At 37.6% G+C, this 17111-nt stretch overlaps 2 protein-coding genes and 1 long non-coding RNA gene across 15 annotated transcripts in view, besides 2 other annotated features; 2 read left to right on the top strand and 1 right to left on the bottom strand.

The window, feature by feature from the left end:
* Positions 1-5551, bottom strand: part of ZPBP (zona pellucida binding protein) — a 252593-nt gene extending 247042 nt beyond the window's left edge. For 10 of the 11 annotated variants that reach the window (XR_001744543.2, XM_011515097.2, XM_011515100.3 and 7 more), the window contains exons 1-2: positions 5373-5551; positions 1934-2014 (exon numbers count right to left, since the gene is read on the bottom strand). Coding sequence is in view for 9 of the 11 variants with exons in the window: in XM_011515097.2 (XP_011513399.1) it covers positions 1934-2014; positions 5373-5499 (208 nt within the window). In the remaining 2 variants the exon portion in view is untranslated. Of the gene's footprint in view, positions 1-1933; positions 2015-5167; positions 5327-5372 lie in introns of those variants that run through there. The other variant, XM_011515102.3, reaches the window with a different exon arrangement.
* Positions 5355-5404: a silencer, noted in NCBI's record as "silent region_18175". NCBI's record gives its function as "represses an Ori minimal core promoter by ATAC-STARR-seq in GM12878 lymphoblastoid cells {active_cell/tissue: GM12878}" and the evidence as "EXISTENCE:reporter gene assay evidence [ECO:0000049][PMID:35858748]".
* Positions 5485-5644: a silencer, noted in NCBI's record as "silent region_18176". NCBI's record gives its function as "represses an Ori minimal core promoter by ATAC-STARR-seq in GM12878 lymphoblastoid cells {active_cell/tissue: GM12878}" and the evidence as "EXISTENCE:reporter gene assay evidence [ECO:0000049][PMID:35858748]".
* On the top strand, positions 5584-6646 carry LOC124901630 (uncharacterized). Its single transcript, XR_007060321.1, has 2 exons — positions 5584-6035; positions 6120-6646. It is a non-coding gene; the product is annotated as an uncharacterized LOC124901630 (long non-coding RNA).
* Positions 6647-8187: 1541 nt separating this feature from the next.
* Positions 8188-17111, top strand: part of SPMIP7 (sperm microtubule inner protein 7) — a 63374-nt gene continuing 54450 nt past the window's right edge. For all 3 annotated transcript variants that reach the window (NM_001161834.3, XM_011515052.2, XM_011515053.3), the window contains exons 1-2: positions 8188-8943; positions 16619-16716. In NM_001161834.3, the coding sequence (NP_001155306.3) occupies positions 8391-8943; positions 16619-16716 (651 nt within the window). In that variant the 5' untranslated portion in view covers positions 8188-8390. The remainder of the gene's footprint in view (positions 8944-16618; positions 16717-17111) is intronic.

A 17111-nucleotide genomic window follows, 5' to 3' on the forward strand; every position in this document is an offset into this window, starting at 1 on the left:
ATATTTAGGAGTAAATTTAACAGAAGAAATGTAACACTTGCATACTGAAAACTATAAAATATAATTGAGGGAAATTAAAGATCTAAATAAATTGAAATAATGGAAAGACCCCCCAAGTTCATAGATTGAAAGACTTAATATTGTTAAGGCGACAATACTCCTAAAATTGATCTACAGATTCAATGAAATCCCTGTTAAAATCTCAATAGACTTTTTTGCAGAAATTGACAAGCTGATTCTAGAATTAATATGGAATTGCAAGGGACCCAGGGAAGACAAAGCAATCTTGAAAAGAACAAATTTGAAGGACTCACACTTAATGATTTCAAAACTTATTATAAGCAACAATAATCAAGATAGCAAAGTATCAGCATAAGAACAGACATATAAATCAATGGTATAGAATTTAAAGTCCAAAAATAAACCCATACATCTGGGGCCAACTGCTTTTCAATACGAGTGCCAAGCCAATTGCAAAGAAAAAGAATAATCGCTTCAACAAATGGTGATAAAACAACTCGATAGCCATGTGCTAAAGAATGAGCATGACCTCTACCTTGCACCATATGCAAAAATTAATTCAAAATAGATCAGAGGCCTAAATGTCAGAGTTAAAACTACAACATTCTTATAAAGAAACATAGGAATAACACTTTGTGACCAGTGATTAGGCAATAATTTCTTAGATATGATACCTGAAGCACCAGCACCAAATAAAAAATAGAAATTAGACTTCTTTATCAAAGTTTAAAACATATGCTTCAAAGAACACATTAAGAAAGTGAAAACACAATCCACTGAATGGGAAAAATATTTGCAAATCATGTATCCAATATATAGAATATATAAAGAACTCTATAATTCAACAACAAAAAGAAAACCACCAAATTTAAAAACGGGCAAAGGACTTGAATAGGCATTTCTACAAATGACATATCCATACAGCCACAAAGCACATGAAGAGTTACAACATCATTAGTCATTAGGGAAATGCAAATCAAAACCACAATGATACCAGTTTACACATACTAGGATAGCTATAAAAAAAGAAGATGGATAATAACAATGTTTAGGATATTGGAAAATCTGAACCCTCATACATTGCTGGTGTGAAAGTAAAATAGCTTAGGCTCTTTAAAAAATAGTTTGGCAGCTCCTCAAAATATTAAACATAGAGTTACTCATAGGTAGAGAAGTGAGTATTATCCCACCCTAAAAAGGAATGAAGTATTGATGCACTCTATAACATGGCTGAACCTCAAAAACGTCATACTAAGTGAAAGACAGACACAAAAGGGCACATAGTGTATGACTCCATTTATATGAAATTTCCAGAACAGGCAAACCTATAGAGACAGAAAGTAGATAAGTAGTTTTCAGGGCTGAAGAATGATTGCATAATGGATTAGGTCTTTCTTTTTGGGGTGATGAAAATGTTGTAAAATTACATAGGGGCAATGGTTGCCTAATCTTGTCAATATACTAAAAACAATTGAATTGTGCACTTTAAAGGAAGAATTTTATGGCATGTGAATTTGCCACAACTTAAAAACCACCAAAACAAGTTGTAGTTGCCATACTTCATGTGACTACTGCAAATCTTTGAATCCAAAATATGTATGATTTGTATTACCATATTTGCACTATATACATTTAATATTATAGCTAATTATTATATAATAAAAATCCACACAGGCAACTTTAGATAACTTTTAGAAATAATTATTCTTTGTATACTTATGTAGTTATAGCATATAGTATTAGAACTGGATGAGTCTAACCATATGCAAACAACTTTAATCCACTTCTGTAGAAAGAAAAGGGCCTTAGGAGACTAGGATAAATGAAGAGCATTAGCCTTTTGGAGAAGACTGATAAATTTAAACAAATGCTAATAACTTTTAAAAATTAGTGAAAATATATTTATGAATACCTGGAAAACTTGTTGATCCCACTATTTTCACTGAATCTTTGGTCAAGCGAAAAGCTCTTGGTAATCGAACCAAGTGTCCAACTATCAAAAAAAAAGATCAACAATTTGTCTCATTAGATATTCTAAAATATTCAAATATACTATTACAGTATCTTTGGTATTGGTTGAAGGGGAGAGCCATAATTCAATCTCCTCTGACAGTTGATATCACTGTTCCAACTCTATTCCCCCTCAGATGATCTGATAAATTTAATCTACGTACTGCTTCTCCATATTATATCTCACCTCTGATTTTTTCTAAAGCCATTTAGAATAATCTCTTCATTATTAGAAGTTCAAATCTCCCACCATTCAAGACCCAAATCACAAGTCCCTTCTCCTTCAAACCTCGTTTGTCCTTAGCACTTCTTATCTGCCACAGTACATCACCAGCACCTTTTTAATAACACTCATTCTACATTGTACTATAGTTCTTTGTTTTTAATTTCCTTAAGTTTTGGAGGAACAGGTGGTATTCGGTTACATAAATTCTTTAGTAAGGATTTTTGAGATTTTGGTATACCCATCACATAATAAACACTAAACCCAATTTGTAGTCTTTTATCCCTCACCCCCATCCCACCGTTTCTCCCACCCCCGAGTCCCCAAAGACCATTGTATCATTCTCATGCCTTTGCATCCTCATAGCTTAGCTCCCACTTATAAATGAGAACATATAATGTTTGGTTTTGCATTCCTGAGTTACTTCACTTAGAATAATAGTCTCCAATCCCATCCAGGTTGCTGCAAGTGCCATTAATCCATTCCTTTTTATAGTTGAGTAGTATTCCATATATATATTTATGTTTGTGTGTGTGTGTGTGTATATGAGTGTATATATATGTGTATATATGTGTATATATATGTGTGTATATATGTGTGCATATATATGCATATATATGTGTATATATTTGTGTATATATATGCGTATATATGCGTATATATGTGTATATATGTGTATATATATACACACACACATGCACACACACACACACATATATATATACACATATACCATACACCACAGTTTCTTTATCCACTCATTGACTGATGGGCATTTGGGCTGGTTCCATGTTTTTGCAACTGTGAATTGTGCTGCTATCAACGTGTGTGTGCAAGTACCTTTTTCATATAATGACTTATTTTCCTCCGGGTAGACACCAGTAGTTGGACTGCTGGATCCAGTGGTAGTTCTACTTTCAGTTCTTTAGGGAATCTCCACAATTTTCCATAGTGGTTGTACTAGTTTACATTCCCACCAGCAGTGTAGAAGTGTTCCCTTTTCACTGCATCCACACCAACATCTATTTTTTTTTTTATTTTTTGATTATGGCCATTCTTGCGAGAGTAAGGTGATATCACATTGTGGTTTTGATTTGCATTTCTCTGATAACTAGTGATGTTGAGCATTTTTTCATATGTTTGTTGGCCATTTGTATATCTTCTTTTGAGAACTGCCTATTCATGTCCTTAGCCCACTTTTTGATGGGACTGTTGGGGTTTTTTTTCATGCTAATTTGTTTGAGTTCCTTGTAGATTCTAGATATAGATTCCAGATATTAGTCCTTTGCCAGATGTATATATTGTGAAGGTTTTCTCCCATTCTGTGGGTTGTCTGTTTACTCTGCTGACTGTTCCGTTTGCTGTGCAAAAGCTCTTTAGTTTAATTAAGTCCGACATATTTGTCCTTGTTTTTGTTGCATTTGCTTTTGGGTTCTTGGACATGAAATCTTTGCCTAAATGGTGCTGGGATAATTGGAAAGCCACATGCAGAAGAATGAAACTGGATCCTCATCTCTCACCTTACATAAAAATCAACTCAAGATGAATTAAGGACTTAAATCTAGGACCTGAAACTATAAAAATTCTAGAAGATAATATCAGAAAAACCCTTGTAGACATCGGCTTATACTATAGTTCTTGATACACACATACCATTTTCCTTATTAGATTATAAGCTCCATTGATAGTGGGATCAATGTTTATGTTAACTTATCAAGAATCAGTATCAAACACTATACCTTGCACATTGTAAATATTAAATAATAATTGTGAAACATATTCTGATAGTCTTCATTGTTAAATGAGCAAATGTGATGGGCATAATAGTGTGAGGGGCAGTATAAAAATGCAATAAAGCATTATACCCAAATAGCCTTTAGCAGACAGGAATAGCAAAGTGCAAAGAAAAGGATGTGGTATCAAAGCCAGAGGACTTGAGTTTAAATCCTAATTCTGCCACTTACTGGTTTTAGGAAAATCACTTTAAACTCTAGGAGCTTCAGTTTTCTTATATGTAAAATGGGACTAATAATAATTCCATCCTTACAGTTACTGTAGAAAATGAGAATACTGTATAAATTGTAAAATGCTATATAAGAGGCCTTCACTATTCATCACTTACAAGATACTAACTGCTTATTCTATTTCTTATATCTCATAGGTCTAATCTTATTATTTCATCAAAAGATCACCAGGTAAAAATTTAAAATAAAAACCCTTTCACACCTAATACACGACCACGACCCATATCCAAGAAGCATCTTTCTCCTACATGGCAATTGATGGCTATCGGCTATTCATATACTTATAGAAGAATAATCTTTGGATTCCTGATGCCTGGACTTTGATTTTTAAATCTCTATTCACTCCATTTGTTTCCTTTCTCCTCCCCTATCCCCTACCTACCTCCACAAACCTTTTACATTTATATTCTTGGAGGACTTCTTTTTTTCATTATTCCTTATTTGAACAACTTTTTTCATTTGAAGCAAATCTCTGTGATTTTATCAATTTTGGGTCTAGAATTTTGAGTCTAGAATGCAGCCAAAACCTTTCTAGTTAAATAACAGTTCAATTAAACTTTCACATCCTTCGTCAGTGTTTGTTCATCAGTATCTTACATGTATTTTTAAAACAGTATAGAAAAGTACTTCAATTCTTTAGAGGTCAAAACTTTAAAATCGCATTATTTCCTGTATTTCACAGCTAAAACCAATAGATGGCGCTCCACCATCACGGATAATTTGAAAGCAGCAGGTTGCCTATTTGAAAGACACTGATCTCATCATTACAGAGTTCACACACTGAAATGCAAACCTGGCAGATGACCCATGGACTGAATTGGGGAGTTTATCAACAAAGCAATTTAATTGTAAAACTTCAACTGTGGGTGACGTAGTGATCCATCTATACCTTAATTTCCTGTCATTCACTCCTCTATGCAAATGCAGAGTGACTTTGTACGACTTCCATAAAAAATAAGCCTTTCTTGTCACGTATTAGTGAGCAAGGTGTCTCTATATAAAACGGATGCACGTGACACAAGAAAAGGCAATTCGAAGAGTGGGGGAAGCTGCGGTTGTCCCTGCGGAGCCGGCAGGGCGGCGCGGACCCTCACCTGATGAGGGCACCCGCACCAGGAAGGCGGAGATAAAGAGGAGGATGGCGGCCCGAGAGAGCAGGGAGCCGGCGGCCCGGGTCCGCCGCCTGCCCCGCCGCGCTGGGCCAAGGGCGAAGGCCTCCATCCACACGCCGCCGTCGCCTGCCCACCGTCCGCGCGGAAGGTCGTTAGGCAACGCGCGCCCACCTGCAGCCGGAAGTTGGCGGGCGGAGGACCGGAACAACGGACCTGATGGACGTGCTCCCACTTCCGCCGGGGTGGTAGACTAGGGGTCAGCCTGTGTCTCCACATAGCTGGTGGGGCCTACACGCGCCAACTGTGCTGTGCAGCCCCCGGGCCTTCAGGACAACACAGCCACGCAGGGCATCCTCAAGAACATCAGTGATTTGTCCAAGATCCTAGAGCTGAGAGAGAATCGTTGGGCCCCAAATCCCGTGCTTTTACCTTTGCATAGCGTTTATGATCGAAAAGCCCTTTTTATGAGCCAGGTGGTAGATGTGGGGCCCAGTTTCGAACAACAGATAGTGAGAATGCATGAGTTAAGACGTGTAAAGCCCTCAGTGGACTGCTTTGATCTAGTAATGTCAGCAGATAGTATTTTATGGATGTGTGGAACTTAATTGGGAGATAAATGCAATACACACTTAGTGGGAATTAAAGGTAAGTAAGGCCTTTAGCCTCAGAAAGAAGCTTGATGGAAGGACAGAGGAAATAACCATAGATGAAATTTACTTTCTAAAATAGACCGGAAGATCATCTTATAGTGTCACCTAAATTCAGCAAAACATACAAAACCATCTATCCTGTGTGGGAGACCAGAATATACCTTCTCAAATATGAAGGATTGCTGCCCTGAAGACAAGAACCAGCAGATGCAGGAGAGCTGTCCACCTGCCCTCTTTTTACCCAGAAGCAAGACATAGATTAGAAAGAGAAAAGGTATCCTGCCCCACTCCTTTACCAGGGAGAACAAAGGTTAACCACTGAAGACAGCGTCAGACCCTCATTAGCCTTGAAATGATATCAGAGGAATTAATATTAGCTTTTTTTAAACCATCTTTTGTCTGCTATTTGTTTGCTTAGCCCAAGTTACTGCCTGTAGAGACTCAGAGTCCTTTTCCTTTGTCACATCTCTAAAAATTTCCTAGTCTTTGTTGAAGATGCTATACAAGCTGGAATTCAAAGACGCTTCTTTGAGAACTACTCATTCTCTGGGTGTTCCTCATATATAAATGAAATATATTAATAAACATCTGTTTTTCTCTTGTTAATCTGTCTCTTGTAAAGGATCCATTCTAAGTACAAAGTTATGGGGGTTATTATTTTCCCATACACAGCCTAAGAGGCCATTTATAGCTAGAACTTGTTTTAGAGAAATTGAAAGAGACTCATGCCTCTACTTTTCTGCTGCTGGAAGGATTTACTTAATGGGAGCAGAGCTGTGATAGAAATAAATCTTAAGCAGTTGGTTTAAATACATTGAAGAATGAAGTTTGAGCAACTAAATGTAGAATGCCTAATTACAAGTGAGTTATCACTTTTGATATGAAGAAATGAGTGATCATGGGTGGACTAAAAACTGTCACTTGATATGCTATGATCTGGATGAAGGATTTAAAACTGACAGCCTAACCACCTAATTTAATCTCACTTGTTTAATAGTATATCTCAAAATTGTAAAGACTTTCAATGGGGCATAGGCATTCTGATTGTACCAAACATATCACCCTTGACAGTTGGCCTGATTAACGATTATGTGCCTGACTCTTCAAAGCTAGAATCTTGCCTGTTTTAACATTTTTGCTGCAGTAAGGATGATGTGAACTTTTACCCCAAATTCTAATATTTGCATTTCCTCTTATAGTAGTTCATGCAAGATGAAATTATCCAGGTGAAAGAGCTTTTAAGTGAACCAATACATTAGTGATTTAAATGATATTTTGTGTGTAGACAGTTAACTGATACCCATTGTGGTTTCCTAAAATGAACTTAAAACTCTTACTGTTCTTACTCTGGACACCATGGCAAATTTAAGGGAAGTAAAGATAATTTAGGGCATGTAAAGATGTACCTGTACTTTCATTATAATTTTCTGTTTTTCTTAAAAATTAGATATACTAGGGCTGGGCACAGTGGCTCACACCTGTAATCCCAGCACTTTGGGAGGCCGAGGCGGGCAGATCACAAGGTCAGGAGATCGAGACCATCCTGGCTAACACAGTGAAACCCCATCTCTACTAAAAATACAAAAAATTAGCCGGGCATGGTGGCGGGCGCCTGCAGTCCCAGCTGCTTGGGAGGCTGAGGCAGGAGAATGGCGTGAACCTGGGAGGCGGAGCTTGCAGTGAGCCAAGATCACACCACTGCACTCCAGCCTAGGCGACAGAGTGAGACTCCACCAAAAAAAAAAAATTAGATGTACCAATTTAACTTTAGTAATGTTTATATTTTGTAGTGCATTTAGATTTACATTTAATTAGATAGCAAGTGTTATATATATAAATACTTAATTGTAGTCACATATATACTTTTGAGAAATGTATTGTCACTGAATTAACTGCTTTATTTACACTCCTTAAATATATTTTATACCCATAAAATACCAACTTATGGAAAAATTTTAAAATAAGTAAATGAACACAGCTTTCCTGAGCACTGGGGAGAAAAGTATCATGGAAATATTAGTACCAAGGCTATTTTTGTTTTTCTTAAGAATTGTGATGTACATAATAAATGGTTCAATGTGTTAAGAATTCTAGCCGTTGCCAGGCAACAAGGGCTCTGCTTTATTCTCCTTATGTCATGTTCCTTCATTGCCCTATTCTTCCTTTGGTGGAGGAAAATATTTGCCTTAAAAAGAAAAACAAAATTATCTGCCAACATTTAGAAAGCTGTGTCAATTTTATACTAGTTTAACACAGATCTTTAGTTATTGGCAATAGAGTTTATATAGTTAAATATAAAGGAATTATCAGAAATACTTTATAGTTATCAAAAATTCTAAAGAAAAAGGCCATGGATGTAGAAATTCAGGACACACCTGGAAAGATAAGTATCTCTAAAAGGTCCATCCTTTCAGGAACTGTTGAGAATATAGATTACCCACACTATTGTGATCTCTTAAGAAAAATGAACATGCCTTTTGTGAAAGGTCTTGAGAACAGACATAACTATGGCAGGTTTGAAAAGAAATGCAACCCTGCTTTTCTTAAATTTCACCCTTATCCCCCTTCAGTTTTGCCAGACTATCATTTACATGATCCTTATCCCCCACCATATGGGCCACATTATCCATTATTTCCACTTCGGGATGATGTGACCTTAGGTGATTCCTGTTCAGGGTTTATGAGTCCTGGTGGTGATGCTGATTTAAATCCTGGCATTGGCAGAACCATACCAACCCTAGTGGATTTTAGTGATGTGAAACCTCAACATCGAGTTCCCAGACCAGACACAGGATTTCAAACAACAATAAAAAGGCAAAAAATTCTATCAGAAGAACTGCAACAGAACAGGAGATGGAATTCCAGGGAAGTACCAGACATTTCTATCAGAGCAAGACTTGGAGGTAAATGAAGTGACATGAACTTTCTATTTTTTAAATGCTCAAGGGAAGAGAGTATGGACATAAGATTCAATATTTAGGCAGTTAAATTAACAAAATTACAATGATCTGAAAAAGGTTTTATTTTTAAATTACAGATTATAAGAAACAAAGGAATGATAAACCTTATAAACTTATTTGTAAAAGAAAATTTATTCTTTAAGAAAAGAACATTCATTAGTGATTAACACAAAGTATATAACATTATTTATTCTAGATATATGGATAAGCTTGTTTTACCACAGGGGAATTTATGTATCACTTTGATAATTGTATAGAAATCCTCCTTATCTGTCTCTCTCCTTTGAAAGAATGAATTCACTGATATTATGAAAGAGTTAGTTTTAAGGATTGAAATAAAATGGGAAAAATTTAAGTACTTGAACGTACATTTTTTGGCTCCAATAAGAACAGAAGCTGAAATGAAGCAAACTCTGCATAAATAGCTCCACAGCCATGGAGGCAGGTTTGATGACCTCTTACTGACATCTGCACCATGTGGTTTCTCTGTAAGAACTCCTGTAAATGGAGTTCCTCTAAATGATGAGAAACACCTCCAAAGGAAAGCCACAGGTACTATTTTCTGTATAAAAGCTGTCTGGCAGGCAGGAATGTAAAAAGATCAACATTTTTAGCATCGGAAAAGGAAAGGGCCAAATGCTATAGGAAGAATACTTTTAAACATTATTCTAAGAAATTATAGGTTGAAGAAATGGCTTAGCAAAGCTAACATAGGGCTAAAATGGTGTTAACAGACTTTGTACCACCAAGTCAGAACCAAGTATAGAGCTCATCTGTCCCATGTATTTCACTGCCTGAATCAGTGAAACAGAGGAGTTTAGAGAACAGGCTTTAGACTCAGACTGTCTGGCCTTGAGCTCTGGCAAAAACTCAGTTGCTGTACGACCCAGGGCTAGTTACTATTCTCTTTATGCCTGTGTATCCTTACTTGTAAAACTCACCTAAGAGTAAAACTTCATAAGATAATAAGTAAGGGTCATTTTATGTTAAAAAAAAAAAAAAACTCACCTAAGAGTGAAACTTCGTAAGATAATAAGTAAGGGCCATTTTATGTAAAAATACCTAAAATAAAGAATAAATGTCAGATTGTAAGAAGTCCAAAATTTTCAGTTTCTTCATACATAAATTAGGAATAATCTTACTTCTTTTATACATTTGTAAGAATCAAATGAATTAACACTTGTAAAGTGCTTAGCAGAATCCCTGAAACCTGATAAAACATTTCATTAATAGTAGCTCTTATTATTAACTATTAAGAGTTTCAAAAAGTAATACCTGCAATTTGGGGACAGAGTTCAATATAATTTGTCCTAGGCTTTCAATGACTTTGTACATCCTGGAAACAATTAATTGTAAATGATAAGTACTTTCAGGATGTAACAAACCTAAATACACGTTATTTCTAATACATTCTCATAAAGACGGTCATTTCAGAATTAATTACATACACACTGGTATGCTCTTCAGTGGACTTTCACAAATATCAAAGAAAAATCATAAAATATTATATTGCTGATTTCTACTTGCCCCATTCCAAACCTGTGTAGACCTTTTACTGAGTTTAGTACTTCCTTTCTTGATCCAGTTGTCTCTCTTTATCATCTACCAATTAACAATTCTAAACTTATTCTAATTACATTCAGATCCTTTATAGTACTCTGCCTCTCATTGCAGTAGATGATCCAGTCTTTGTTATCACAGAAGAGATAGACCTCATCTATTGTCACTTCCTTGATTGTCCTCCACTTTGGCCTCCTGATATCAATATTGATACCACTTTGTATGTCTTTCTATCTTTTTTTAAACCATTGTATTAAGTCACTTTGCATGACAAAATACTAAAGGCTGGGTGGCTGAAACAACAGATAATTGTTTCTCATAGTTCTAGAGGCTGGGAAGCCAAGAATCATGGAATTGGTATATTTGATTGCTGGTAAAGACCTTCTTTCTAGTTTATAGAAGGCATCTTTTTCCTTGCATCCTCAGAGAGAGAGAGAGAGAGCTCTAGTCTCCCTTCCTCTACTTAACACTAATGCCATCATGGAGGTCTTACCTTATTTGCCTCATCTAAAGCTAATTACCTCCCGAAGTCTTCACCTCCAAATAACATCACATTGGGAGTTAGGCTTCAACACACGAATCTGGGGGGATACAGACATTCACCACAACCATCTTTATAGTTAATTAACATTAAGTAGTATATTCATACTGTGCAAATATCACCACCATCCATCTCTGGGATTCACTTCATCTTGCAAAACTGAAACTCTTTACCCATTAAACAACCCCCTATTTCCCTCCCTGCCAGGGGTTATGAACTCCTGGCAACAACCGTTATATCTTCTGTTATCTATGATTTTGACTACTTTAGGTTCCTCACTTAAGCGAAATCACATATTATTTGTCTTTTGTGATTGGCTTATTTCACTTACCGTAATGTCCTTCAGGTTCACTCCTGTTGTAGTATATGTCCAAAACTTCTGTGTGTATTAGGTCTATTTGGTCTATGTGTTATTCAAGTCCTCTATGTCCTTATCGATCTCCTGTCTGGATGTCCTATTCATCATTAAAAGTGCGGTACTAAAATATCCTACTATTATTGTATTGTTGTCTATCTCTTCCTGCATTTATGATTCTCTTGACCTTGGTGAGCATTTTCGTGACGGTTTTCTGTGGGGTATGTTATTTAACTCTATTTTATTAGGATTGGTTTCTGAAAATGTATCTTATTCCTTTGTTTGGAGGATCTTTGCCTGATTCTTCATTTTCCTTGACTCTCTGTGTAGGTGTTTCCACATTAGGCAAAGCAGGCACTTCTTTCATTCTTCATGACCTGGTCTTGTAAAGAAGAAGACCTTCACCCTTCAGCCTGGCCAGAGATTTGGGAACCTCTGCCAACTGTTTTCCTTCCCAAGTGAATCTGAGAGATGGGATTTTTGTTCACTTGCTCTGTGCTGAGGAGAGGGTGAGCTATGGTGTCTACTAGCCCAAACTCCCATTTCCATTATCCCATAGGCAACTAGACTGTGCCAGATTCATCAGAGTTTCATGACTGATAAGACAGATGCTGTTTTTGGAGCAGCCCCAGAGAAGCTGGGGTCCTGGATCAACTCTTGGATCTATGGCGACTATCTCTAGATCTAGATCTGTGGCATCTACAAGCCCAGGCTACCTTCTCCATCTTCCCCCAGGGGGTTAAACTATGTTGGATTCATCAGAGTTCCAGAACTGGTGAGATAAATCATAGTTCTTTAGGCAACTACCGAGAAGTTGGGGTGCTGGACACGAATGAATCAACTTTTTCTAGGGGGCTGAGAGAGAAGATTATTTAAAATCTGCTTACTCTGTGCTGAGCATATGGGAGAGTCTGTGCTATCCACCAGTCCAGAATGCAATCTCTGTTCACTCTTGGATCATTAGATTGTACCAGACCCCTCAGGGCTCCCAGACTGGCAAGACAGAAGCCAGTCCTCTGGGGAGCTCCCTTGGAAAAGTTGGGGTGCTAAACATGGGAACCAACTGAGGGGAGAACAACCTGAATGAATCTGGGAGCTAGGAAATCTCTTCCTGATTGTCTGGTACTGCACCAGGGGCAGGGAATCTGCAAGAGGGTGACTAACTCAAATCTCCATATCAGCTTCAGTGCGTCTGTTTTGCATTCTGTCAAGGTGCAGGAGCCTTTCACTCAGTTTCTGTATTTCTCACAAAGGTAACTTGTTCATGAATTGTTGCTGAATCAGTTTATTAATTGGGGAGAGGAAGTTCAGAGTTTCCTACTCTGCCATCTTGCTAAGGTCATTCCCCATAAATTTTGTTGTTTAAATTTTCATTTTTCAGTCAGGCACGGTGGCTCACGCCTGTAATCCCAGCACTTTGGGAAGCCAAGGCAGGTGGATCATGAGGTCAGGAGATCGAGACCATTCAGGCTAATATAGTGAAACCCCGTCTCTACTAAAAATACAAAAAATTAGCCAGGCGTGGTGGTGAGCACCAGTAGTCCCAGCTACTCGGGAGGCTGAGGCAGGAGAATGGCGTGAACCTGGTAGGCAGAGCTTGCAGTGAGCCGAGATCGTGCCACTGCACTCCAGCCTTGGCGACAGAGTGAGATGCCGTCCAAAAATAAATAAATAAATAAATAAATAAATAAATATGAAAATAAAATAAAATCGTTTTTCTCAAGATAATTTCCCATTTCCTTTATGATTTCTTATCTGATCCTTTGTTTTGTGGCATCATGTTTAATTTCTATATATCTGTTTATTTTCCAGTGTCCCTTCTTTTGTTGATTTTTAGTTTCTTTTCATTTTTACTGGAAAAGACACTGTATGATTTTAACCTTTTTAAATTTATGAAGAAGTGATGAATGGTAGCTGGTCCAAAAGTGATCCTCAGCAATTCACCCTGTTCCTGTGTGTGCCTGCCACTCTTACTGATAAACTCTGTTTACTTCCCATGTTGACATTGGGCCTGGACATTTGACTGGCTTGGGCCAATTATATGTTAGTAAGCATCATGCAAATGGAGACTTGATAAGCACTTGCACGTTGGGATTAGTCCTCTTCAGAGTCTTATCTGGGATCTCAGTCACTATCCTGTGAAAGACCAACCTATGCCCACAGAAACAAATACAAGACACTTGCCAGTGTGCCCACCTAAGCCCCCAGCTAATGGTCAACACCAACTTGCCAGCCATGTAAGTGAGGCCTTTTTTGAACCTTTGCAGCTATTGAAACTGACACCATGTGAAAGAACCACCCCCAACTATCTTCTGAATCCTGGGAGAGAATAAATGGTTGACTTAAGCCATTAGGTTTTAGAATTGTTTGTTTTTCAAATAGTAGATACTGAAACGGAGTGGAGGAAAGGATAACCTCAAACTTAGTCTTAAATTTGATGACTCTGCGGTGTAATTCATCGTCCAGAGTCCTTTCTTCTAATCTGGCTTAATATTAGAATTCAAGTTTTATTGTTTTCCTAATTTCCTACTTTTTCAAAGCAGTTGTTTGAATGGCTCCAAATAAGATAGATACCACAAAATGCCATCCTGTTGCTTGTGGCACAATAGACTTCTAGAGAGTTTCCTTGGTCCAGCTTGTCACAGACAGAATCATCCTCATGGTTCTTAAAACTGAAATGACCATGGGATTCAGCATTCCTTTCCTCCCTTTGCTTTGGCCTCTCACCTCTGTGTCTGTATTAGTTTTCTCTTGCTGCTTTAATAAATTGACACAAACTTTCCAGCTTAAAGTGAAACCCGTTAATCACAGCTTTGTGGATCAGAAGTCTGGGGAACGTCATCTCGGTCTTCTGTTTAGAATCTATGATAATAATAATGCCAAAATTTGCCGGGCGCAGCCGTGGCTCACGCCTGTAATCCCAGCAGTTTGGGAGGCCGAGGCAGGCGGATTATCTGAGGTCGGGACTTCAAGACCAGCCTAGCCAACATGGTGAAACCCCGTCTCTACTAAAAGTACAAAAATGACCTGGTTGTGCTGGCGCGTGCCCGTAATCCCAGCTACTCAGGAAGCTGAGGTGGCAGAATTGTTTGAACCCAGGAGGCGGAGGTTGCAGTGAACAGAGATCATGCCACTGCACTCCAGCCTGGGCAACAGGGTGAGACTGTGTCTCAAATAAATAAATAAAGCCAAAATCAAGGTGTTATCTTGATTCTTATCTAGAGGGTCTGGGGAAAAATCAACTTCCAAGCGCATTCAGATTGTTGCAGAATCCAGTTTCTTCCATCTAAACTGTTTATTTCCTCATGCACTGTCAGCCAGGGACTCTGTCTGCTCCTAGAGGCTACCCATATCCTACTCATATGATCACCTCAAGCTTCAAAGTCAACAATAGTGCACTGAGGTCCGCTGACACTCTGTTCTCTAACTGGCCCTTCTAAAGCCACAGACTATCCAGCATACACTTGTTCTCTATTCCTCCTTTGAAAATCCCCATTTCAGATTCTGTCCTGAGTTTCTCAGTCAAATATTGACTGAATTATCATCAATCATCATCATTATCATCATCATGAAAATAGTATTACTACATTAGTACTAAAAATACTAATGATATTACAACCACTAATTGTTAACTAATAAAAATGTTGAGCACTTAAACTACATGCCATAGTTTGCTTATTTCTTTGTGTTCATTAATTATAGTTTTTATAACTCTGACAATAGTCATTAAAGGTTAGGAAAATGAAGCTCAGATGGGTCGAATAACTCATGAAGGTCACTCTGGAACCCCAGCAATAAGTATATACATTACTTATATATATATAAAATGTATATACTTGTAAGTATATATTATATGTAATATATAATGTATATACTTGTAAGTATATAAGATCATATATTTTATATATATATATAATATATATAATATTAGATAGGTGGCATCTGTGATAGAGCTGCACCAGGGTGGCATCCACAGATGACCATGGAGCTCCTATCCTTCCCTAAGCACCTCTCACAATGCATCTCTCTCATGCTTCAACATCTCTATGCTGTCCATCCTGATCTCAAATTTTAACTTTTAATTTTACATTTTGCCAAGTTGGATTAATTCGTGGAACAAAGCTATGAAGTAGGGGACCAAATCTGAAGCCCCCATGGGATAGGAGAATCGATCTCTATGGAAACTACCAGAGGCACCCCAATTATCTTCACCTATGCTAGTCACCTGCCCAAACCAAAGTAATCTATCTCTCTTATTAAAACCCTTCAACGGCAATCCATCTGCAGGTTGAGTCTGAGGTTTTCATGCCCTGACCTTGGACTATTTCTTTTGCTTATCTTCTACCATTTCCTATCTACCATTTTACAATCTGCTATACCTAACATTTTTTAAGAGGCTATACCTAACATTAAGAGGCTCTCACAGAGCAGGACTACCATTGCACATACTGTTTCCATTCCTGGAACAACTACCCTTCCTCTACTTCTCCTTTTTCATCCAAGTTCTACTTTAATTGTCAAGATTATAACAAGTGTTATCTTTGGGGAGATGTCCCTAAGCCCTGACAACCTGGTTAGACTAGGTATTCTTAGGTATCCTTCCTATGCACCCCCACAGCACTCTGAGCTCAGCTATTGCTGTATTGCCACACCATATTGAGATTATCTACTTATATGTTTGTACTTTCCATTTGCTTATGGACACCTCAAAACCAGGGGCCCTGTTTTTCATCTTTATATAAAAGCTTCCAATTACAGTGTACTAAATATTTTTGAAGGCTGCTTTTTATAATTTGCTAGTTTTTTAGGACTTCTAATCTATCATTATATGAATTATCTGCATAATAACCAGACCCCTCTTGTGTCATCACCATCCCCAACATGTCTGTGTGCACATACATAGATGTATAGTACCAAATAGGTATCTTCTAATAATAAGTAAGAAATAACAAGTGATTCTGCACTATTGTAATTCGGCTCACATAGAAATTCCAGAGCTATTCTGTTCTCACAGCTAAAAGATCCAGAAAAGTTATTAAATAATCCATTAAAAAATGAATTACGATCACACAGTCTAGCTTCTAATAGTAAATATTTCTGTTGAAAAAGAACTTTTATTGTGTTTTTAACCAAAATCCCATTCGCTTTTTTTGTGTTTTCAGGTTGGACAAGCCCTCTGAAAGTTACTCCCTTACAACCTCATCATGAAGGACGCTCATTAAGTCACATATTTACATTTGATGAGGAGGCAACATGTACAGTAAGATTTTCTTCTGGGTGGTGTTATATATAATTAGTTTATTTCATTGTATTATATATATATAATTAGTTTATTTTATTGTTTAGTTATTTGATATTGTATGCCTTAGATGAACAGCTACTATGTATATAGTTCTTCTTATGTTCCAGGTACTGTGCAGACCCTTGCAATCAATGTCTATTATGCATTACCTTGCACCATTCCCACAATACCATGGGGGAGGAGTGAGTAGTAGATGCAGCTGGTGCCCATCACAGACTTCCTTCACTGGCAAGTGTGTCTATTCCCAGTAGCAATGAGTGATGACCACTGAAAGGCTAACAGCCACCAGACTGGAGGACTGCACCTTCTCATGCTGTCTCTTTCAGATTTTGGCCAGTGACTGACTGACTTCT

The sequence above is a fragment of the Homo sapiens genome, chromosome 7 (genome assembly GCF_000001405.40).
Source record: "Homo sapiens chromosome 7, GRCh38.p14 Primary Assembly".
Lineage (NCBI taxonomy): Eukaryota > Metazoa > Chordata > Mammalia > Primates > Hominidae > Homo > Homo sapiens.